The 23817-nt window shown below is 48.5% G+C and overlaps 1 protein-coding gene across 4 annotated transcripts in view, besides 7 other annotated features; it reads right to left on the bottom strand.

Moving 5' to 3' along the window:
* The window catches only part of CAMK1D (calcium/calmodulin dependent protein kinase ID), a 485999-nt gene extending 472702 nt beyond the window's left edge, over nt 1–13297 (bottom strand). For all 4 annotated transcript variants that reach the window (XM_006717483.5, NM_153498.4, XM_006717482.4 and 1 more), the window contains exon 1: nt 12934–13297. In XM_006717483.5, coding sequence (XP_006717546.1) covers nt 12934–13025 — 92 coding nt within the window. In that variant the 5' untranslated portion in view covers nt 13026–13297. The remainder of the gene's footprint in view (nt 1–12933) is intronic.
* Nucleotides 6238–6287: a silencer, noted in NCBI's record as "silent region_2144". NCBI's record gives its function as "represses an Ori minimal core promoter by ATAC-STARR-seq in GM12878 lymphoblastoid cells {active_cell/tissue: GM12878}" and the evidence as "EXISTENCE:reporter gene assay evidence [ECO:0000049][PMID:35858748]".
* Nucleotides 12149–12308: an enhancer, noted in NCBI's record as "active region_3040". NCBI's record gives its function as "activates an Ori minimal core promoter by ATAC-STARR-seq in GM12878 lymphoblastoid cells {active_cell/tissue: GM12878}" and the evidence as "EXISTENCE:reporter gene assay evidence [ECO:0000049][PMID:35858748]".
* Nucleotides 12483–12982: an enhancer, noted in NCBI's record as "H3K27ac hESC enhancer chr10:12391861-12392360 (GRCh37/hg19 assembly coordinates)". NCBI's record gives its function as "activates a minimal SCP1, AML or CMV promoter by ChIP-STARR-seq in naive H9 embryonic stem cells {active_cell/tissue: H9 hESC(naive)}" and the evidence as "EXISTENCE:reporter gene assay evidence [ECO:0000049][PMID:30033119]".
* Nucleotides 13019–13108: a silencer, noted in NCBI's record as "silent region_2143". NCBI's record gives its function as "represses an Ori minimal core promoter by ATAC-STARR-seq in GM12878 lymphoblastoid cells {active_cell/tissue: GM12878}" and the evidence as "EXISTENCE:reporter gene assay evidence [ECO:0000049][PMID:35858748]".
* Nucleotides 13279–13838: a silencer, noted in NCBI's record as "silent region_2142". NCBI's record gives its function as "represses an Ori minimal core promoter by ATAC-STARR-seq in GM12878 lymphoblastoid cells {active_cell/tissue: GM12878}" and the evidence as "EXISTENCE:reporter gene assay evidence [ECO:0000049][PMID:35858748]".
* Nucleotides 13879–14138: a silencer, noted in NCBI's record as "silent region_2141". NCBI's record gives its function as "represses an Ori minimal core promoter by ATAC-STARR-seq in GM12878 lymphoblastoid cells {active_cell/tissue: GM12878}" and the evidence as "EXISTENCE:reporter gene assay evidence [ECO:0000049][PMID:35858748]".
* Nucleotides 21770–21819: an enhancer, noted in NCBI's record as "active region_3039". NCBI's record gives its function as "activates an Ori minimal core promoter by ATAC-STARR-seq in GM12878 lymphoblastoid cells {active_cell/tissue: GM12878}" and the evidence as "EXISTENCE:reporter gene assay evidence [ECO:0000049][PMID:35858748]".

Genomic DNA, 23817 nt, shown 5'->3' with positions numbered 1-23817 from the left:
TGAAACCCCGTCTCTACTAAAAATACAAAAAATCAGCCCAGCGTGGTGGCAGGCGCCTGTAATCCCAGCACTTTGGGAGGCCGAGGCGGGCAGATCAGGAGGTCAGGAGATCGCGACTATCCTGACTAACACGGTGAAACCGGGTCTCTACTAAAAATAAAAAAAATAAAAAATAAAAATTAGCCAGGCATCATGGCGGGCGCCTGTAGTCCCAGCTACTCGGGAGGCTGAGGCAGGAGAATGGCGGGAACCCGGGAGGCGGAGCTTGCAGTGAGCTGAGATGGCGCCACTGCACTCCAGCCTGGGGGACGGGGCGAGACTCCATCTCAAACAAACAAAAACAAAAAACAAAAAACAAAAAGTACATGGGAGGATGTGCAAAATTTATATGCAAATACTACACCATTTTATATCAGACACTAGAGCATCCTAAAATTTTGTTATCCGCGGCAGGTTGATTCTGGAACCAGCCCCCGGCAGATACCAAGGGATGACTGTATCACATGATTCTACTTCTATGTGGTACCTAAAGTAGCCAAATTCACTGAGACAGATGGTGGAACGGTGTGTATCAGAAGGTCAGGGAGGAGGGAGTAGGGAGTTAGTGTTTCATAGGTGGAGTGGAGGTTCAATGTGGGAAGATGAAAGAGTTCTGGAGATGGATGGTGGCGATGGTTGGACAATGCTGTAATGTACTTAACACCACAGAACTGCACACTTCAAAATGGTTACGATGGCAAGTTTTATACTATGTATTTTTTAAGCACACTTTTTTGTTTTTTGTCTTTTGTTTTAAGGAGCAGAGAGTTTAATAGGCAAGAAAGAAGGGGGAAGAAAGAAAGAAGCAGCTTCCCTGTACACAGACCGGCGGGGGGTAGGGGAGGCTCCAAAGCCAGGAGACGGAACCCCAAACTTAGGTAATATCAGCCAGCTATATTCAATGGCTGGAGGAGGCGTTTAACTATAATTTTTAAAAAACAGTCAAATAGGCCAGGAGCGGTGGCTCACACCTGTAATCCGAGCACTTTGGGAGGCCAAGACGGGTGGGTCATTTGAGGTCAGGAGATCGAGACCAGCCTGGCCAACATGGTGAAACCTCGTCTCTACTAAAAATACAAAAATTAGCCAGGCGTGGTGGTGGGCGCCTGTAATCCCAGCTACTCGGGAGGCTGAGGCAGGAGAATCACTTGAACCCAGGAGGCAGAGGTTTCCGTGAGCAGAGATTACGCCACTGCACTCCAGCCTGGGCCACAGAGCGAGACTCCATCTCAATTAAAAAAAAAAAAAAAAAAAAAAAAGGGCCAGGCACAGTGGCTCATGCCTGTAATCCCAGCACTTTGGGAGGCCAAGGCAGGCAGATCATAAGGTCAGGAGATCGAGACCATCCTGGCCAACATGGTAAAACCCCGTCTCTACTAAAAGTACAAAAATTAGCTGGGTGTGGTGGTGCATGCCTGTTATCTCATATACTCGGGAGGCTGAGGCACGAGAGTAGCTTGAACCTGGGAGGCAGAGATTGCAGTGAGCCAAGATCACACCACTGCACTCCTGCCTGGGTGACAGAGCAAGACTCCATCTCAAAAAAAAAAAAAAAACAGTCAAATAGGAAGTCTTGTTATTATATCCATTTGTCAAGAAGCTGAAAGCACCAAAGAAAGCCAACATTGTTTGTCCATCACGACTAGGGCCCCAAACTCCATTTTTACTGACCATGCTAACACACACCCAAAAAATCCAAAGAGCATAATTCTTGTACGTTATTGCCACATACAGGATGTCCCCAACTTATATGCAAAGTCTGTTCCAAGAGATCATTGAAAGCTTGTTGTTGCTGTTGTTGTTGTTTTGAGGCATATTTTCTTACAGAAGTGGAATTTTTCCTGGTGACGTGGACACTATTCCAACCTAAAGAAGCCCTGGCGTCCATGGTAGAGCTGTGACAGTATCTGCAGTCCCGGCCTGGCCCGGGAGAAAGAAAGAAAGATGGGAGAGGCAGCGACACAGCAGCCTCCCTTTCCAGAGCCCAGGACAGTTTAGGGCCCAATTTGGCAATAGTTGATGTAGGTTGGTTTACGGGTTCTATTCCCCAAAGCCTCAATGCATCATTACCACCTTGCCTCACTCAGCCCTCAACTCCCCAGTTTGCGACCCATTTGAGCCTCCCGGGACGAAATTACTTCTTCCTCCTTCTGCCTGCCATTCAAATGCTAATCAAGTATTGAGAAAAAGTTCTTTCCTTAAAATCACTTACATAGTAAATGACTGGCAGCCTCTCAACCTATTTTGAGGTATTTATATCTTCTCAAGTTTTAAGGCAAATTTGAAGCAGTCTTCTTTCAAGGTTAAGGAAGTATTAGCCCATAAATGGGAGGATATTTGGGGGCAGGGGACGCTGGCCTGCTGGTCACTCCGATACCTCCTGGCTTGGTACAGCTTCTCTTCTCTCCATCCACAAATTTTTCAAAGCTACAAAGGTCTAGGGTTTTTCTTTTTCACAACACTTTGGGCCTTGTACGAAGGGACAGGGTTGTGTGGGGAGGCAGGCAAGACTGTCACTTGAACATCAGAAACTGTCTGAGGTTTTATTTAATACGATACCTTTAGGATTCCATTTACAGCACCAAATCCAATTTATTGTAAAACCAATTTCAGTGATCTGTGTTGTGGTCATGAAAGAGAGAGAAAGGTCCTCTCAACAACTAGAAATACTGACTACTTTCAGCTGGAGGAGCTTTTTCTTCCTCTGCTCAGCCTGTGATAGAGGCACCAGTAAATCAAGATCCCGGACATTGTCTGGCTTCCACAGGGACTAAAATGGACAGGTCAAGAGGAGAAATCATGGCTGATTTGGAAATTAGCTCCCCAAGTGTTAACACTAACATCCTGTGACCTGGGACATTTAAAGTTTTTGAGATCTTCTCCCAACTCCCATGCAAAAATCCCCCAAAAGGGTATTTTAAATAAATGGTTACATATGCTTATGGGGTATATACATATGCATGCTGCCATTTTTAAATACTCTAGCATTAAAATAAATTCAGTACCTATAGGTTTTAAACTACAAAACTTCATGATGGTTAGACACTGTAAGTAAGTTCCTTGAGTCATCAAATCAAAACATGAGTTTCAATAAGAAACAAAGCAGAAAGACAAGGAATTTTCCAAAAAGAAAAGCATGTTGAATCAAAGAAAAGCCACAGGCTGCCTGCAGACCTCCATGCAGTGAGAAGCCACTCTTGCCCAGGCTGATGGAGAGAGGGACAGATTTTTTTAAAACCAGCTAAGGGTGCAGGGAGAGGTGCAGAGAAAAAAAAAAAAACCGAGAAGCTACCCAGGGGGAGGGCTGAGCCTGGGACACACAGCTAACTAGGTCACTCCAGCACCGGAGCTGGGCCAGAGGACGTTTCAGGCAGAGTCTTTTGCTTAATGCTAGCATTACATGAACTAATCACCCCTGTTGGGAGCAAATGTTGAATGGCTCAGCGGGCCTTCCAAATCTGTGGAAATGGCCTCTGAGGGGCAGGGATAAATGATAGAGAGCGGGCATTGACTGCACACACACCCACGTGCCACACACGGCTCTCAGTGGTTCCCGTGCACCCTCATTTCATCTTCACCACAAGCCTCACATTAGGTCCAAGTGTCATCCTGTTTTACAGATGAGGACATGAGGCTCAGAATGGTAAAATAATTGGCCCAAAGCCATACAGCTAGGAAGCTGTGGACCCAGGATTTCCACCCATATCCGTGTAACCTCCGAGCCTATGTTCTTAGCTACTCACTGTACCAGGAAGAACAACTGTGGATTGTTCTTCTCTGGCTGACTGAAGAATTGTTTATGATTGCTGAAACCATAAATTTTGGGGGAGGTTAAATATGCACCATCCTGCCTATTTGCAACAAGAGCTTCCAAAAAATCAATTTCCAACAGATACTGACGTGTTCTTCCCCAATGGAACCTGCCCCAAATGTCCAAGGGAAGCCAACCTCAGCTGCTGGAGGTAACTACAGCTTGATGACAGTTACTGTATATTCAATCCCAGTTATGTGCCAGGTACCTCACATATGTCACTGAATCCTTACAACAATCCCACAAGGCAGCAACTCCTATCTCCCTCTTAAACTCAGAGAGATTAAGGAATCTATCCAGAGGCATTCAGCTATGAATGCCTGCACCAGAACGATCTTTCTGTTATGTTACGTTGCCTCCTTTACCCGGCCTCAGCAAATATACCCTATCAAAGGCTTGCTCTCAAGGTTCAGTGTTCACCAGGAGACAGAATCCCCCATTTCTTTTTTCTTTTATTTTTTGAGACAGAGTCTCACTCTGTCGCCCAAGCTGGAGTGGAGTGGCACAATCTCGGCCCACTGCAACCTTCGCCTCCCAGGCTCAAGCGTTTCTCACGCCTCAGCCTCCCGAGTAGCTGGGATTACAGGCATGCAACACCATGCCGGCTAATTTTGGTGTTTTTAGTAGAGACGGGGTTTTACCATGTTGGCCAGGTGTTGAACTCCTGACCTCAGGTGATCCACTCGCCTCAGCCTCCCAAAGTGCTATGATTACAGGCATGAGCCACTGTACTGGGTCCCTCATTTCTTTTTTCTTTTCTTTCTCTATGGGGACACGGTCTCTCTCTGTCACCCAGGCTGGGGTGTAGTGGTACCATCATAGCTCACTGCAGCCTCAACCTCCCAGCCTCAAGTGATCCTTCTGCCTCATTCTCCCAAAGTGCTGGGATTACAGTTGTGAGCCAGCACTCCAGGCTGGAATCTCTCCATTTCTAAGTCCTGCTGAAAGATTTGGAAAAACAGCACAAGACACAGAGAACAGATAGCTGAAGATATAAAATGAACTTGGTCTGTGGCGGAATGAACTTGACCTACGGCATGTATTTGGAGGTGACCTTTGATCTAACTGGAGCCTGAATAATCAATACACTGCATAATAAACCAAAAAAAAAGAAAAGAAAAGAAAATCAAGTGAGATCTAATAAAAAACTACCCCGGAGAAAAAGAAATCTCCCTCACCACAGAAAGTCAAAGGGGCATAGCCAACGTGAACCGAGATCAGGCTGGAATCTTTCCCGGAGTCCACGTGTCCTCCTGCACTAAATAAGCACGGAATTGACCATCTTGCATCAGGAAAATAACGTGGGTCCGCTGACTCGGGCACCAGCTTCATGGTGGCTGCCTATAAGCAGTTCCTTCATTAATTAAAGAAACATAATGGCCGAGTGCAGTGGCTCATGCCTGTAATCCCACCACTTTGTGAGGCTGAGGTGAGCAGATCACTTGGCGTCAGAAGTTTTAGACCAGCCTGGGCAACACGTTGAAACATAATCTCTACCAAAAATACAAAAATTAGCTGGGCGTGGTAGTACGCGCCTGTAGTCCTACCTACTCGGGAGGCTGAGGCAGGAGAATCACTTGAACCCGGGAGGCGGAGGTTGCAGTGAGCCAAGATCACGCCACTGCACTCCAGGCTGGGTGACAGAGTGAGACTCCGTCTCAAAAAAAAAAAGCAAACACCTGTAATCCCAGCTACTCAGGAGGCTGAGGCAGGAGAATCGCTTGAACTCGGGTGGCAGAGGTTGCAGTGAGCCGAGACTGGACCACTGCGCTCCAGCCTGGGCGACAGAGCAAGACTCTGTCTCAGAAAATAAAATAAAAACTTAAAAAGTAAAAAAAGAAAACATATCCCCGGTGGGCAAGTTGACCAGTAATGTGACAAATCTCCGCTGGACCCATGCCTAAGCCCTCCCAGAGGAGAGAGGAGGAGAAGCAGGAGGAGAGAGATTGAAGGGGATTTAAGGAGATTTATTTGGGGAAAGGAAAGATTAAAGAGATTTACAGAGACCCAGCCAAAGGAAAACTCAACAAGTTAACCCTTGAAATCCTCCCCTGAGAGCACACAAATCTCCACCTGGCACCAGCAAACCTAATTACTGTCCATTCAGTGGCCAAGTTCGAACCAGAAATTTGTACTTGAGACACAGTCATCATTAGCTTCTCTGGGAACAAGCTCTACCCAAACTCCCACTTCCCAAATCTCATTTTACTAATCAATAAGGACACTGAAGTTTGTTATCTTCACCTTTTCTTTTTTTTTTTTTTTTTTTTTTGAAATGGAGTCTCACTGTGTCACCCAGGCTGGAGTGCAGTGGCACAATCTCAGCTCACTGCAATCTCCACCTCCAGCATTCAAGCGATTCTCCTGCCTCGGCCTCCGGAGTAGCTGGGACTACAGGTGCACAGCACCACACCCAGCTAATTTTCTGTATTTTTAGTAGAGACGAGGTTTCACCACGTTGGCCAGGCTGCTCTCGAACTCCTGACCTCAAAAGAGGAGGTACCTCAAAGTCCCTCTGAGAATTTCACCTTCAAATTCAGAAATCCCTCCCCAGGGGAGCCCAGAAGCCCAAGGCTGTGTGCTTGCCCGTTTCCAGAGCCTCCCAGCACACGGGCACCCATAATGTGTAGACAGAGCAGGTGCTCCGAGAATTCCTGGGGAAACTGAACAAAACCACCAAATGAACTGTTCGTCCAAGCCCAGGTCCTTGGGGAATCTCACACCCCACATCCAGTCCACCAGCAATTCCTACCAGCTCCACCTTTAAAACACATCCGGAATTCGGCCAGGTGAGGTGGCTCACGCCTGTAATCCCAGCACTTTGGGAGGTGGGGGCGGGCAGATTTTTTTTTTTTTCTTTTTGAGACGGAGTCTCACTCTGTCGCCCAGGCTGGAGTGCAGTGGTGCAATCTCGGCTCACTGCAAAATCCCAGGCAGGCTCCCACATCAGGCACTTGCCCTTGTGGCCGCCTTTGACCGGAAGAGTCTACGTTCAGACAGCCCCATGGCTCTTTCCAGGTCTGCATTCAAGCGTCACCTCAAGCTGCCATCACCCCACCCCACACATCCCCTTTGGCTCTTGGTTCCTGCCTAACCTGCAGCTTCTAACGTGCTGTTCCTTTCCCTTCTTTGCCCCTTGTATTTTCTGTGGCTCCAGGAGAGCAGGCATTCTCGTCTGCTCACTGCCGTCTCCTCGGTGCCTAGAATATAGCAGGTGTTCAACCGATATTTTTAAATGTATGAGAGGCTGAATTTATATCACGCCTCAAAACAAGAGGACTGGGGAATCCAAACATCTAAAGAAGACTGCAGCGGGGATACCCTCGGGGAGAAGTCTAGGGGCTTCCCACCCCTCCTTTTTTCTCAGTAATGTTCTTCCTAATGCTTCTCACGGACTCTCAAATTCTAAGTAACCCCAGAAAAACAACTATGAAATTCACCAGTCAAATATACAAACCACCTCGAGTGTTTGTGCATTCTCTCCCCCACCACACACACATACACACGCACGCGCGCGCACACACACACACACGCACACACAAACACATATACACCAAAAAAGAAAAGTTGAGTCTGTTTTCCATCTGGACTTTCAGACAAACCAATCATCTGTGTCCTTAATAGGTGTATTTATTGGGCAATTTCAGAATAAGTAGCATAGTGTGAGATGAGTGGGAAAAGACGGTGCTTGACCCACGGAAGTTTCTATTTATAGTCTTCCTAAAGCAGCATCCAGCAGGCACTCATTTAATGAAAAAGGAGACACACTGCTATTGACACAAAGTGAGATCAGGGTGCTGGTCCTGAGCTCTTATTGTGCTACTAGTACAGTCACAAAAATGTCCCTCCAGAGCTAAGTGCAGTGGCCCGTGCCTGTCATCCCAGCACTTTGGGAGCCCAAAGTAGGAGGATCACTTGAGGCCAGGAGTTTGAGACCAGCCTGGGCAACACAGCAAAACTCTGTCTCTACAAAAAAATAAAAAAGTTAGCCAGGCATGGTGGTGCACACCTGTAGTCCTGGCTACTCTGGAGGTTCAGGAAGGAGAATCACTTGAGCCCAGGAGTGTGAGGCTGCAGTGAGCTATGATCGCACCACCGCACTCCAGCCTGAGTGACAGAGCAAGGCTCTGTCTCAAAAAAAAAAAAAAAAAATTTTCCTCCAAACAGAAATGAGCTGCACCTAGCCACACAAGGAAAGCCCCTCGGGAACAAAAGCAAGTGCCCTCCTTACACAGGGAGCCACAGAATCTTAGGGTTGCAAGGGTACTTGAAAATTTTCTCATCGGCTGGGCGCGGCGGCTCACGTCTGTAATCCCAGCACTTTGGGAGGCCGAGGCAGGCGGATCACGAGGTCAGGAGATCGAGACCGTCTTGGCCAAAATGGTGAAATCCCGTCTCTACTAAAAAATACAAAAAAATTAGCCGGGTGTGGTGGTGCTACTTGGGAGGCTGAGGCAGGGGAATCGCTTGAACCTGGGAGGCGGAGGTTGCGGTGAGCTGAGATCCCGCCACTGCACTCCAGCCTGGTGACAGAGCAAGACTCTATCTCAAAAAAAAAAAAAGAAAAGAAAAGAAAATTATCTCATGTTCCCTGTTCCCCACCCCCAACCTGCCTTGATTTTATAGATGAAGAAACTGAGACAGGGAGAAGGTAATGTAGGTCAATGTCCAAGCAGTCCACAGGCCACAAAACCCCTCATGGCTGAACCAGACCTAAAACCCAGTCTCAAATCCTCCACGATGCCTTGTCCAGCCATCTACAGACAGGAACAACTTCAACTTCAAATGCTCAGTCTACACGAAAAACATGCATTCATATCCCGCGGAGATGAAGATCCATTTTCTAGGGCATGCCATGTTCTGTACTCCAGGGGAAATGAGGTTTGTTGGGAGACTCATTCTGCCACGTGCCAAGTACCCAGGCCTTTCCATTCACATACATTTCACAGCCTGGAAATTGCAGAAGTGACTTCTATGAGTCTAGGGTGCTTCCTAGACACCACACCGAAGCTTTCCTCCCATCCATATACTTCTCCGAATAGTATTTTAGGGGTTTTTTTATTTTTTGCTTCAGTAGTCACTGAAAGATAGCTACGATAGGGACGGCCTGAACAGCCTTGGCAAATACACCAACAGAAATGTGTACCCCTCCTAATTTGCCATTACATAACATTTATTTGTTCTCATAGTGTGCCAAGGGTCTGAAAACATGTTGATTAATAGACAATAATTAAGTCTCACCACCTTATTCAGAGATATGGTTATGTTCTGGGATTCCCTTTTGTAGGAGGCTGCACTGAAGCGCACAGGTTGAAAGGTTTGTCCCTGAGACCTGACTCAGAGGTGCATCAGACAACCCAGGCCAGACCACAAAGCCCAGTCCTTTCTCTTATGCTGCTCTTTGCTTCCTCAATCTCATTTTCCACCCTCCTGGGCCAACCTTCACTCCCATTCGGCCCCCACTCTCCAGCAAGGTCCCTCTAACCATACAGCCTAACCGCCTTGACCCCTTAGCTTCCAACAGTAAATGCTCGGCTCCATGAGGTGAGATACCTGGATAAGGCAGTGGATATCAGATTACAAAGTCTGGCAAAATGAGTGCTCCTCCAGCCTTTGCAATGCTTTATTTTAAATACATGTGAACATTGTGAGCTGACAGCCCTGCTTCTTACAAGGCTTTCCTGCCTTCGTATCTTAAAGACGTAGGGAGAAAGTAGGGCAAACAAAGTGACTGGAACTGCGGCATACTTTGGAAATGAATGCCAGTGGTTAATTGTCGATGCCTTTCATTTGTGTTAGATTTCATTCAAAACAAGAGAAGGGCCCAGACTCAAAATCCCCACTGAAGGGACCAGAAGTCAACTCCACATTAAGACTCGGGCCAGAGTCACCGGTCATGGCCCAGGGTGGAGCAGGCATCTTGAACTGGGGACCACTTCTAGAAAGTACACAGAGGCGGCTGGGCGCAGTAGCTCACGCCTGTAATCCCAGCACTTTGGGAGGCCGAGGCAGGCGGATCATGAGGTCAGGAGATCGAGACCATCCTGGCTAACACGGTGAAACCCCGTCTCTACTAAAAATACAAAAAAATTAGCCAGGCATGGCGGCGGGCGTCTGTAGTCCCAGTTACTCGGGAGGCTGAGACAGGAGAATGGCGTGAACCCATGAGGCAGAGCTTGCAGTGAGCCGAGATTGCGCCACTGCACTCCAGCCTGGGCAACAGAGTGAGACTCCGTCTCAAAAAAAAAAAAAAGAAAGTCCACAGAAGCAAAAGGACGACAATCCAAAAGCTCTGAAATGCTTCCAAGTTTTCCAAGTTTAGATAACATTATGCTATCATTATTGCCATCATTATGTTTTCTCATTTATTTTATTTTATTTTTTTGAGACCGAGTCTCACTCTGTGGCCCAGGCTGGAGGGCAGTGGCGCAATCTCAACTCACTGAAATCTCTGCCTCCCCAGTTCAAGCGATTCTCCTGCCTCAGCCTCCCGAGTAGCTGGAATTATAGGCACACACCACCACACCCGGCTAATTTTGTTATTGTTAGTAGCAACAGGGTTTCACCATGTTGGCCAGGCTGGTCTCGAACTCCTGACTTAAGTGATCAGCTCGCCTCAGCCTCCCAAAGTGTTGGGATTACAGGTGTGAGCCACCACGCCCAGCCCATTATGTTTTCTTTACATTAATATTAAAGTTCGCGTTCCAAATACTAAAGTTAAGTCAAATTATTGACTAAGCATTGGCCATTACAGGATCTACAAAGTGTGTCAACCCTGTATGGACAATCAAAAGTTGCTCTGCCTATCTGTGAATACCAGCTCCGCCACTTAATAGTTAGCTAAGGTTTGGTAGCTCACATAATTATCTCTGCTGCCTTAGTTTTCTCATCTGCAAATTGGGTGTAATGGTAAATACCTACCTCATAAGGTTACTCTGAGATTTAAATGAGTTAATACACATAAGGCACGTAGAATAATACCTGATCCTGGGTATACATTTCAGAATACCACCTATGATTACCATGATTATTATGTGGAGTAAAAACATCTTGATCATCACACTGTTTCTATCATTCTTCTAGGTCCAATGCCAGTGCTACAGTGGGAAGCTCCTTTGCAAAGAATTCCATCCCAGGCAGAAGGCAATGCTTTAGGACCCTAAGAGAGACCCATTCCCAAAGCTCACAGGGAACATGGCTGGAGTCCAAGAGGCTGTTCTGCCAGAGAAGCGCTCTGGCACCAGAGGGCAAATCCCCATTTTTCCCCAAGGTGGAAACCACCCACAGTCATCTCCAAACACCATGCTCCAGCAGGAGCCACAGCTTGGAGCCTCAGCAGCCCCGCCACTGCAGAGGTGCAGCTGCACGAGTCAGTCAGGGGACAGGGCATCAGTCACCCGGAGGCTACAGGCAGGAAGCCAGTGTGGGGGGCTCGGGTGGGAACAAGCCACGGACAGGAAAGCATTCACACAGGGTGGGTCCCCATGCTCTCCCATCTCCTCATTGGCGGCCACAGTGCGGGTCCTGGATGACAAGCAAAGGCCATGCTTTCTTGTCTCTCAGTAACTTGAGCATCTCAGAATCACAACCCCAAACCCGAATAAACCTCAGTGGCAATTTTCAAAAGTTTTGACCCAAACTAACCCCTTACCTGGCTGCACTAAGAGGCAACCCCAAACCCCTATTTATTAAAAAGCTACATCTTTTTCTGTTTTCATTCCAACAAAGATAGCAAATAGGTGCCCTCCCTGAAAGGCAACAACCACAGCAGGGAGACCCCACTCTAGTCCTCAGCGTGCGCCTTCCCGGGAATCAGAAGCAGGACTGGGAAAGCCACCCTCACAACTTCTCTCCGGGGGACCCCCTGCAGATCTGCGTGGGGGTGAGGGGAAATGACTGAACAGCAGCAGACGCCGAGCCTGGAGGTGAAGACAAGCTGGGTAATGTGGTGCTGGAAAAAAGAAACCAAGCACAAAAACAAGCACACGGAAAAAAAGGAGGAAGGAAAGAAAGGGCACCCAACAACGCACTGATTTATCCCATGAAATAGCTCCCCTTTCTCTTCCCAGCCTAATCAACACCTCCATGAACCCCTGCAAAATGGGCATTTCTGACTGCACACCTGTGCGTGAATCCACACTGACAGATACTGATGCAGAGCAAATACTGATTGTGTGAGGGAAGGAAATAACTTGAACTTCAGACTCATTCGGCAGGTCCTGATTCTCTTTCACTATCAGCCTCCCCACCTATTCTGAGCCGCTCCGAAACAAAACAAACAAGACCCAACTCCTGGGCAGAAAGGGAACAGCAGCTGAGCTGAGCAGCACATGCTTGGAGCGTTCCTGCCATCGACTTCGGATTATTTCTGCTTTCTTGAGACACAGCCATCAGCATGGGACTCGATGCAGCCCGGAGAGAGCACCGCCCGCGCAGCGACGCGCACAGACCCTCCCTTGGAGACGCGCTCCCCGGCGCGTGCGGCCGAGCCCGCGTGAAATGCACAGACCCTCCGGTGAGGCTCTGCCCACGTGTGACCCTGAGCACTGCGAAGCCCTTCCCTTCCATCCTCGCGTGGCCACCCAAAGTCTTGCCTACACCTCGTACGTGCAGATGCCAATTCCATAGAAATACATGATGTAAGGACAGAAATGGGAACGACTGGAGGCTGATCTTCTCGTGACCACGTCTCGCCAACGCGGTGCGCCCATGCACACGGCGAGTAAACGCACACAGCCGGTAAACAGCCATCCCCACCATGCTCAGCCCACAGTCACGCGTGGGGAGAAGGCAGCGGAGAGGGCGGCGGTGGCAGGAGAAGTGGGAAGTCGCGCGCCCGCGTGGGCTGCTCCCTGACAGCCCGGCGCTGCCCCCTCCCCCTCCCGGGAACGGCGCCCACCCGGGGGTCGCAGGCCCACGCGTCGGGCGCGCTCGGGGGGGCTCCGCAGCGCCGAGAACGGGACAATGAGGACGCGGTGACAGGCTGGGTTTCTGCCGCGGTAGTGGCGGCGGCGGCAGCTGGAGCTGCCCGTGCAGCCCCTGCCGCGGCCACCTCCACCCTCGCCTCCCCGGTCCCCACTTACGTTCCGAGGGTCTCTTTGAACTCGAAGATCTTCTTGATGTCTTCAGCTTGCTTTTTCCAGGAGGAGCTGCTCTCGCCGTTCTCCCGGGCCATGGCCGACGAGCGCGGCGCGGAGGAGCGGCCGGGGGCGCGCTGGGGAGGGGGCGCCGGGGGCGCGGCGCGGGCGCAGAGGCGGCGGGGATGCCGGGCGGCTCGGGCTGCGGCGCAGCTTCCTCCTCTGCAGTTTCCTCTTTCGCTCTCGCCGCCGCCGCCGCGGCCGCGGTCCCTCCCTGGCTCTTATTTCTGCTGTTCTCGGGCACAGACTTCCTGCCGCCGCCGCGCGCCGGCTCCTTTGCCGCCGCCTGCCAGCCTCACTTTCTGCTACTTTCTTGCCTCCCTCCCGCTCCCTCCCTGCCGCCCGCCGCGCTCCCCCCCACCTCGCGCCTCCTCCCCCTCCTCCCCCTCCTCCCCCTCCCGCGGGCTCCCCGCCCTCTCCGTGCGCCCCGGCCGCTCCCCGCCTCCAGCGCGCCGCCTTCGGGGATGTCCCGCTCCCCTCCCAAGAGCGCCGGGCCACGGCCGTCGTGCCCCCTGGAGCCCCGGCGAGGGCGGGTACGGGCCCCCGGCAGGTGCGGGGCGCACGCGGGAGAGCCCCAGCCCCTCCGGGAGCTGGAAACGGAGCCCAGTCTGGGGGCGCCGGGGCTTTCCCGTCTCCGGCGGGAGGGGGCGCCTCTGCGTGGCTCGGAAGCGCCGGGCGGGCGGGGGTGCGCGGCGGCCGGATGCGGGGCGCCGAGGGCGGGGCGCCTTCCCGCGCTGTGGCCTGTGGCCCGGGGGACCCGAGGGGCAAGGCGTGGGGTGGGGGGGGTGGGGGCCGGTTGTTATGGCGACGGGCGGCGGCGGCGGCTGGGATGGAGGCGGAGGCGGGCGGGAGCTCATTCGCATTGCACCAAATCGGTTTCACGTCAGTTTCGGGACAGACCCGCGAGGAGCAAGCCGGGGAGCCTCTGGGCGGGTACGCGCAGGACGCGCCAGCAGCTGCCTCGTGGTCCCTTTGCGAGCAAAACTCCCGGGGGTGTTTGGCAGCCGCGCGGGCGCCCTGGTGCTGGGCTGGAGCGGCCGGCGGGCCTGGCCGGCCTGGTTGCCCTGGCTCACGCTTGGCCCCTTCTGGCATCTCCCTGTCTCCTCCCAGAGACTCAGTGGAAAGAAGTGATCGTCTGCCCCGCAGTCCCCTCGAAGGAGGAGCCCACCCGCGGCTGGCTTAGTAGGGTGTCCGGGTTGCGGGGCAGGCACCTGCTTTCCTATGGACTGCCAAAACTAACCCAGAGAATTCCCTCCGGACTCCCATCTCCCAGCTGTACTTTGGCCTGCCCGCCCCACTCCTGGTGTCCACCTGTCAGAGGGCAGCCCACGTGCTCCAGTTCCCTGGTCCCCAACCTGCAGGGGCGACCTCTTGATCGGAAAATTTTAGATTTCTTGGTATCAACACTTCGCCTCCCTCAGGGCCTCTCCTCGTAGTTGGGTAAACAGCTCTGTCTCTTGACTGGGGACACCTGTCCCATTTTCCCAGGACTGTTCCAATTTCACTGTAAAAGGAAAAAAAAAATCTGCTCCCTGAATAGGAAACTTCATCCAGCACCTTGTGCCTAGTTCTGACTCTGGCTGAAGTGGAGGCAGCCCAGCTGCTCTCCCTCAGCCCCTACTCTGACCCTAAAGAGGTCAGACGACACCCTGGCATCCCCATTCCTGGGACCTCCATGCTAGTTTCCATCTTTCAAAGACGGTTAGCTTAAGGTTTTCCAAACTGAGAAGAGCAAAGAGGGGATTTACTTGCCGGTTAGATGTAGAATAAATCCACAAACCCAATTTCCAACACGGATGGGTGAGAAGAATTACTAAGGAACCTCTCTTATACTTGAGGCACATTACCAAAGTTCAAGGCAAACAGCATCCCCTTCAATAAGAAACATTTGAAAAACTATCATGTATTTTACTTGTGCCAAAGGTTAGATAATACAAACAGTGGGAACCAGGGCATAAGTCAACTAAGATCCCAACTGTCGCTTTCTCATGCCTACAGTCAGCATCTTCTTGTCCTTTCTTTCTCCTTCCCTTCCTCCCACTGTGTTTCCTTCTCCTCTTTTCCTATTTGGTTCTCTGCTATGTTGCCCTTGCTGCCTGGCCTCAGGAACAGCCGCCAGAGCTCATGAAAACAATTCTCATTCTCAGCTATTATCCCCACAGCTGAAGAAGTGCTGATTCTCTACTACCCGGCCATAAAAAAGAATGAAATCATGTCTTTTGCAGCAACGCAGTTGGAACTGAAGGCCATTATCTTAGGTGAAATAACTCAGAAACAGAAAGTCAAATACCACATGTTCTCACTTAGAAGTGAGAGCTAAGGCTAGGCATGGTGGCTCACGCCTGTAATCCCAGCACTTTGGGAGGCCTAGGCCAGTGGATCACCTGAGGTCAGGAGTTCAAGACCAGCCTGGCCAACATGGTGAAACTCTATTAAAAATAAAAATTAGCCAGGCATGGTGGCACATGCCTGTAATCCCAGCTACTCAGGAGGCTGAGGCAGGAGAATCACTGTAACCTAGGAGGTTGCAGTGAGCGAAGATTGCACCATTGCACTCCAGCCTGGCGACAGAGCAAGACTCCATCTCAAAAAAAAAAAAAGGAGAAGAAGTGGGAGCTAAATAATGTGTATATGTGGACAGAGAGTGTGGAATAATGACATTGGAGTGGGGTAGGGGAAGGGATGAGAAATTAACTAATGGGCATGGTGTACCCTATTCTGGTGATGGTTAAGCTAAAAGCCCAGACCTCACCACTACGCAATATATCCATGTAACAAAACTGCACTTGTACCCCTAAATCTATAAAAATAACCATTAGAAAAAAAGAAAGAAGGCAATTTTACAGGAACAGTAAAGATGAAGGGAAAGCAAATGAGAACTTCCACGTGGCCTGTGGCCGTGACTTTTCCTACCAGGCTATAAGCTCCATGAGAGCAAGGCACCTGTTAACTTTCTCGCCACTGTTTCCCAGCACCTGACACGGTAACCTACCCATACTGACTGATCTGTAAATGTGTGTCGAATGGATAAAGAAATGAAATTGAGGCCAGGCGTGGCAGCTCACGCCTGTAAAATGCCAGCACTTTAAGAGGCAGAGGCAGGCGGATCACCTAAGATCAGGAGTATGAGACCAGCCCGGCCAACATGGTGAAACCCTGTCTCTGCTAAAACTACAAAAATTAGCCGGGCGTGGTGGTGTGCGCCTGTATCCCAGCTACTCAGGAGGCTGAGGCAGGAGAATCACTTGAACCCAGGAGGCAGAGGTTGCAGTGAGCCGAGATCATGCCACTGCACTCCAGCCTGGTCAACAGAGTGATATTCTGTTCAAAAAAAAAAAAAAAGAAAGAAATGAAATCGAGTTAAGACCGCTATTTGGTATTTGTTGTACTGGTGGAACTGCTGTAGGGAGCTTTATTTCTTTTCCAGACTTTCTGTAATGATGTTCATTTGGCATTATCAAGCTATTCTAAGCTGGACGAGGTCCTCAAGAAAAAGCATACTTCTTTTTTTTCTTTATTTTCTTTTTTTTTTTTTTAAGACAAATTCTTGCTCTGTCGCCACGGTAGAGTGCGGTGATCTCAGCTCACTGTAACCTCCACCACCCAGGTTCAAGCGATTCTCCTGCCTCAGCCTCCCGAGTAGCTGAGACTACAGACACGTACCACCATAACTGACTAATTTTTCTACTTTCAGTAGAGATGGGGTTTCTCCATTTTGGCCAGGCTGGTCTCAAACTCCTGACCTGAAGGGATCTGCCCACCTCAACTCCCCAAAGTGCTGGGGTTACAGGGGTGAGAAACTGCACCTGGCCAAGACACAAACTTTTTTTTTTCCAGAGTCTCGCTCTGTCGCCCAGGCTGCAGTGCAGTGGCGTGATCTCAGCTCACTGCAACCTCCACCTCCCGGGTTCAAGCAATTATTCTGCCTCAGCCTCCTGAGTAGCTGGGACTACAGGTGCGTGCCACCACACCTGGCTAACTTTTCGTATTTTTAGTAGAGACGTAATCCCAGCTACTCAGGAGTTCAGGACCAGCCTGGCCAACATGGTGAAACCCCGTCTCTACTAAAAATGGAAAAATTGGCCGGGCGCAGTGGCTCACGCCTGTAATCCCAGCATTTTGGGAGGCCAAGGTAGGTGGATCATGAGGTCAGAAGATCGAGACCATCCTGGCTAACACGGTGAAACCCTGTCTCTACTAAAAAAAAAAAGAATACAAAAAAATTAGCCGGGCGTGGTGGCAGGTGCCTGTAGTCCCAGCTACTCAGGAGGCTGAGGCGGGAGAATGGCGTGAACCCGGGAGGCGGAGCTGGCAGTGAGCCAAGAGCGTCCACTGCACTCCAGCCTGGGTGACAGAGGGAGACTCCGTCTCAAAAAAAAAAAAAAAAAAGCTGGGCATGGTGGCACGAGCCTGTAGTCCCTACTACTAGGGAGGCTGAGGCAGAAGAATCGCTTGAACCCGGGAGGCAGAGACTGCAGTAAGCCGAGATCGCACCACTGCACTCCAGCCTGGTGACAGAGCAAGACTCCATCTCAAAAAAATAAAAAAATAAATTAGCCGGGCATGGTGGCATACGCCTGTAGTCCCGGCTACCTGGGAGGCTGAGGCACGAGAATCACCTAAACCTGGGAGGTGGAGGTTGCAGTGAGCGGAGATCGCGCCACTGCACTCCAGCCTGGACACAGAGGGAGACTCCGTCTCAATAAAATAAAATAAGTTGGGCATTATGCTCTCCATTAAATATATTGTTTGACAACACTCTTAAGTTGGGGGTGGGTGGGGCTCTTCTCACAAATGCTGTAAAAACTGTTAGCACCTTAAATTGTGTCCTCAGTTCCTAGAAATAGTAGAGAGTTACTGGAGCTCATTTCTTATACACTGCTGGTTAACATAAGTTGTTGATGGTGTGCACTAGAATCTACACCAAGGAAACACGTAACTAAATGAGGAATCACACAAAACTGCCACCTTTGCAAAAAGCAGTCTGTCACTGAGGCAACAGGAAGACAAAGAACTCAGCACTGTAGTTTCAGATTTCTTTTGGAAGAGGTAAAGACTAAAGGAATCTTCTAACCTGGGTCATAAGAAAACTGAGCATCACCCAAGGAGAATTCCAGCTAGCCTGGAAGTCCAGGGCCCGCTCCTTAGCATGAACCTCTTGAAAGCAGCTGTTCATGCAGGAATGCATCTAGTTCAAAGATGATGAAAAATCAACAGCACAACATCTTTATGAAATTCCTCCAATTGAAAAAAAAAAAAAAAAAAAAGGCCGGAGGGGAGCTCTGGTAATGCAGGCCTAGTAAAAAAAAAAAAAGAAAGAAAAAAAAAAAGAAGGGAAGGAAGGAAGAAAAAAAAGCAAAGAAATAGGAAACAAATAGCAGTGGAGAAACAACACAAGAAAAACTTTGCTGGAGAATAGATAAAATTTGTGTTCAAACATGTCATAATTTATTTTAACTTAAAATATTGAATTTAAAGCAAAGATGCAGTTGCTCAGGGAAGACGGGGCAAAGCAATAGAAGGAATTCAAACATCAGCTGGAGTTGCTCAAGAAAGAAGCAAGGGCCGGGCACAGTGGCTCATGCCAGTATTCCCAGCATTTTGGGAGTCCGAGGCGGGCAGATGGACTGAGGTCAGGAGTTCGAGACCAGCCTGGCCAACTTGGCAAAACCCCATCTCTACTAAAAATACAAAAATTAGCTGGGTGTTGTGGCGGACGCCTGTAATCCCAATTACTAGGGAGGCTGAGGCAGGAGAATCACTTGATACCAAGAGGCAGAGGTTGCAGTGAGCCGAGATCATGCCACTGCATTCCAGCCTAGGCAACAGAGTGACAGACAGAGTGACAATCTCAAAAAAAAAAAAAAAAAAAAAAAGAAAGGCCAGGTGAAATGGCTCATTCATGCCTGTAATCCCAGCACTTTGAGAGACCAAGATGGGAGGATTGCTTGAGCCCAAGAGTTCAAGACCAGCCTGGATAACATACTAAGACCCCATCCCTACAGACAATTTTTAAATTAGCCAAGTGTAGTGGCACACGCCTGTGGTCCCAGCTACTTGGGAGGCTGGGCTGGGAGGCTTGCTTGAGCCCAGAAAGTGAAGGCTGCAGTGAGCTATGAACATGCCACTACACTCCAGCCTCAGTGAGAGAGCAGAAAAAAAAAAAGAGGCAAGAAATAAAATACTATAGATATAAAGACTACATTGGAAATGGCAAAAGGGCAAAAGGAAAATTGCAAAAAAAAAAAAAAACAAAACGACTCAAAAGAAATAGAGAACACAATCAAAAATGGGGGGAAAATAAGATGGGAATGAGCAAGATTAACTAGAAAATTATATGAAACAAATAGGAAGCTCAATTTATCCACAAATGGGATACCTTATGAAGAGACTGAAATGAAGCAATAAAAAGTATTTAAAGATATTATTCAAGAAAATCTTCCAGAAATAAAAGCTTAAATCCACAGACTGAAGAGGCACATTATGTATCAGAAAATACATGGGTGGTTAATATCAAGATATGTCCTAGTAAAACTACTTATCTCCAAAGAAATAATCCTTCCATTTTCTCAGGGAAAAAAAAAAAACGAGTCACGTATATTGGTGAAAAAAATCAGTGGCATAATCATAGCTCACTGTAACTTCAAACTCCTGGCCTCAAGTGATCCTCCTGCCTCAGCCTCCCAAAGTGCTACGATTACACATGTGAGCCACCTCACCCAGCCCATTTTTATTTACTAATCGTCACATTAATCCTGTGAGGTGGATAATATCATTGGTCCCATTTATAGTGGGATTTGGAAAAGTTCAGTAATATACCCCAGGTTACCCAGCATGAGTAACTGAAACCCAGGCTGGGCCAGTCTGCTTAGTCTCAGGGATAGCCAGGGTCAGTTCACAAATCTCTGTCAAAATGTTACTCAAATAAAAGGCACCAGATTAACACTGAACAGCTGTTAACAGAAGAAGGAGAAATGGATGTCAAGGAGACAACCACAATAGATGTCCACCATGATGTAAAAATTTTTGGGTTCTTTTGTTTTGTTTTGTTTTGTTTTTTTTGATATGGAGTCTTTCTCTGTTGCCCAGGCTGGAGTGCAATGACGCGATCTCAGCTCACCACAACCTCTGCCTACCGGGTTCAAGTGATTCTCCCTGCCTCAGCCTCCCAAGCAGCTGGGATTACAGGTGCCTGCCACCACACCCAGCTAAATTTTTGTATTTTTAGTAGAGACAGGGTTTCACCATGTTGGCCAGGCTGGTCTCGAACTCCTGACCTCATGCGATCCGCCCACCTCGGGGGTCCCAAAGTGCTGGGGTTACAGGCATGAGCCACCACGCTTGACCATAAAAGGGATTTTTAATGAAGAAAGAGGAGTGTTGTTCAAAACCAAAATAAGAGAATCAAATGACTTCTTTAAAAAATCTCCAAATGTATATATTTTTCTTAACCAAACCATTTTTTTTATTTCATTTTCTCAGACCTCACGGAACTTTTAAATGAACACATCCCATTGGATATTTAAGTAGAAGAATTAACCTGTATCTGTCTACCTTAGGCCTGAAAATAGTTCAGAATTTCTCCTAGACCTACATTTTACTACTCACATTGAAACACAATCTTGTCAGTTCATATTAGAATTAAGAGTCTATTCTTAACAACTCAATGAGACAAATTTCTTTTCTTTTTTTTTGAGACGGAGTCTCGCTCTGTCGCCCAGGCTGGTGTGCAGTGGCGTGATCTTGGCTCACTGCAAGCTCCGCCTCCCGGGTTCACGCCATTCTCCTGCCTCAGCCTCTCCAGTAGCTGGGACTACAGGCGCCCGCCACCATGCCCGGCTAATTTTTTTCTATTTTTTAGTAGAGATGGGGTTTCACCGTGTTAGCCAGGATGGTCTCAATCTCCTGACCTCGTGATCCACCTGCCTCGGCCTCCCAAAGTGCTGGGATTACAGGCTTGAGCCACCGCACCCAGCTGACAAATTTCGTGATATGCACAGATGCGTTTATAAAATTAAGGACACTACAACAGTAAATATGCTGCCTCTTATATGAGGAACGAGCCCTAAACAAAAATGGGATTTCCCCTAATTTTCTACCCTGAACTGAATTTTACTTTTTCTACAGCAGACATTGAAACAGAATCTTATCACTTTACATTACATCTTAATAGTATATTTCAAACAGCTGAGGGAGGTGCATGTGGTGATGTGCATAAGTGCATTTATAAAAACCTAGGGCATTAAATCAACAAGTATGCTTCCTCATATAAGCAGAGCCAGGCCTAAACGACCATGTGGCCTCAAGAAAACTGCCCAGGAACGTTTTCTCCAAACTTTGAGATCTTTTTTTTTTTTCCTATAAAAAGGTGCCATTATCAGGAGAGGGGAGGCTGATTGTAAGATGTTCTTAGTTTATTTTGAACTATTTGAACTATAGACAGATAATGCTGAAGCAAGGAGAGAAACCAATCTTTTAACAAATATCTTCAAATAGTTGGTAAATTCCGAGCTGGTATATCTGAGGTCATTGAGACTATGAATTCTAACTCTGTGGGCTGACCTTACCTACATCCCCTAAACTGCTGGAGTGCCTTAATTTCTCTCTCAGGCATTTTTTCGCTTGTACTTGAAATAGACACTGTGAACAGAAAAATGAATGAAGCACAGTTCCTGCCCCCCAGATGTTAACATCTAAAAAAGGAACGCAGACATGTAAGTAGACAGCAAGAATAAAATGCGATTAAGGTAACAACGGAGGTTTGCACAGAGAGCCGTGGGGAAGCACAGATTAGAGAGGGCCAACTTCCTGGAGGTGTCAGAAGAGGCTTCACAGAAAAAAAAAAATTACTTATAAACTGGAAGGATCAGTAAGAATTTGCCAAGCACGGAAGGGAAGGTGTGGATTTCAAACAGAAGAAAAAGCACTTGCAAAGACATAAAAATCAAAGACAGGTCTATCCTTCACCATAGTCTAGGTTTGGTTCCAATCACCAAATCTTAGTGGCTTATACTACCAAAGATTTGTTTCTCACTGCCATCATAAATGGGTTGGGCAGGTGCGGGCAGGTCAGCCGCCCTCTTGAATTCTGCTAGTCGCTATGGCAGGAACTCAATCCAGGTCTTGAACTGGCAATTAACTGCCCTGTCCCGGAAGTGATACCCATCACGTCCTCTCACAAGTTATTGACCAGCTGCACTCAAGGGGGCCCGGCAGTGCAATCCCATCATGTGCGCAGAAGGTCAAAAGCCAGAAATCTTTGGCAAACCCCAGCACTAATGACTCCCACAAATATGTCACCTAAAGCTCTGTGTTCAGGAAGTGGTGGTTTGTGTACCAGGGTTACAGTTCATTGAGCATGGAGGGGCAGCAGCCAATGGGGCTGGAGAAAACGGGAAGGGTCTGTTGGTGAAAGGCCTCGGGGGTCCTTCCTTTGGACCAAAATTTTTGTTAAGTGCTTCAGTGAGTGTGATAATCAGGGTTGAAAACATAGCAATACCCTGCCCTCCATTTCAGCAATGGCTCTGTCACCCATAGGAAACCTATTGGCTTGTAGTGGATTGCTTTTCTAATCCCAAATCTAAGATTTGGTGATTGGAACCAAACCTAGACTATGGCGAAGGATAGACCTGTCTTTGATTTTTATGTCTTTGCCTGTGCTTTTTCTTCTGTTTGTGCCCCCACAGGGCACAGCCTTAGCCACAGTAGAACTCTGCACACCTGTGAAGGAATTCAGCTCAATAGCTCAGGAGGAAATTGCAGAGTTGCTTCCCTTCCTACTTTGGATGTTAGTAATGGATTTCAATTCTTAGTCATTAAGAAATCTTCAAGTCCAAAGGATTTGCCAGAGATGGTGTAATCAGCCAAGATTCTGAAATGCAATCTACTATGGGGGCATTTCTCCTGGCATTAGTCTCAGGGATAGTCAGGGTCAGTTCCCAAATCTTGACTCCAGTTCGGTAGAGCCGTGCCCCTGGAATCGTATTACTGTTGAGTGGGCAGGTACACCATGCAGAAGGACTTTGCAGACAGCCTCACGCAGAAAACAGACCAACAAGTATTTGGCTTCCTCGTTCAGTCTGGTGAGAGCTGTTGGCTTGTTCAGGCTTTTGCCTTAGGGCTATGGCAAAACAACTAAGTGGGTGCAAAAGAGGGGTTTTCTGTTTTCTTGCTTTTTTTTTTTTTTTTTTTTTTTTTGAGACGGAGTCTCACTCTGTCGCCCAGGCCGGACTGCGGACTGCAGTGGCGCAATCTCGGCTCACTGCAAGCTCTGCTTCCCGGGTTCACGCCATTCTCCTGCCTCAGCCTCCCGAGTAGCTGGGACTACAGGCGCCCGCCACCGCGCCCGGCTAATTTTTTTTGTATTTTTAGTAGAGACGGGGTTTCACCTTGTTAGCCAGGATGGTCTCGATCTCCTGACCTCATGATCCACCCGCCTCGGCCTCCCAAAGTGCTGGGATTACAGGCGTGAGCCACCGCGCCCGGCCTTTTATTTTTTTTTTGAGCATGACTTAGGTGAAAGGCATCTTGCTATGTCCCACGATGCTATGGTGCACTGTATATAGAGTACAAACTAGAGGAAGGCATTGTGCAGAATAAAAGAACCAAGTCTCATCTGACATCTAACATACTCCCTGACTTCAGGCATTTTCCAGCCCTTCTTCAGATGGTGATAACATACAGAGAGGGATGAGATAGCATCTGCAAAGCACTTTGGACTTCTTAGAAGAAAGACAGCAGATAAACATAAGGTATTAATAGTATGCATTTTTTTTTTTTTTTTACTAGCTGTCACATCTGGCTCTTTGTTCTTTGCCTGGATTACAAAAT

Source organism: Homo sapiens, chromosome 10 (assembly GCF_000001405.40).
Source record: "Homo sapiens chromosome 10, GRCh38.p14 Primary Assembly".
NCBI lineage: Eukaryota > Metazoa > Chordata > Mammalia > Primates > Hominidae > Homo > Homo sapiens.
The sequence above is the reverse complement of the archived record's forward strand: the minus strand, read 5'-3'. Positions and strand labels throughout refer to the sequence as shown.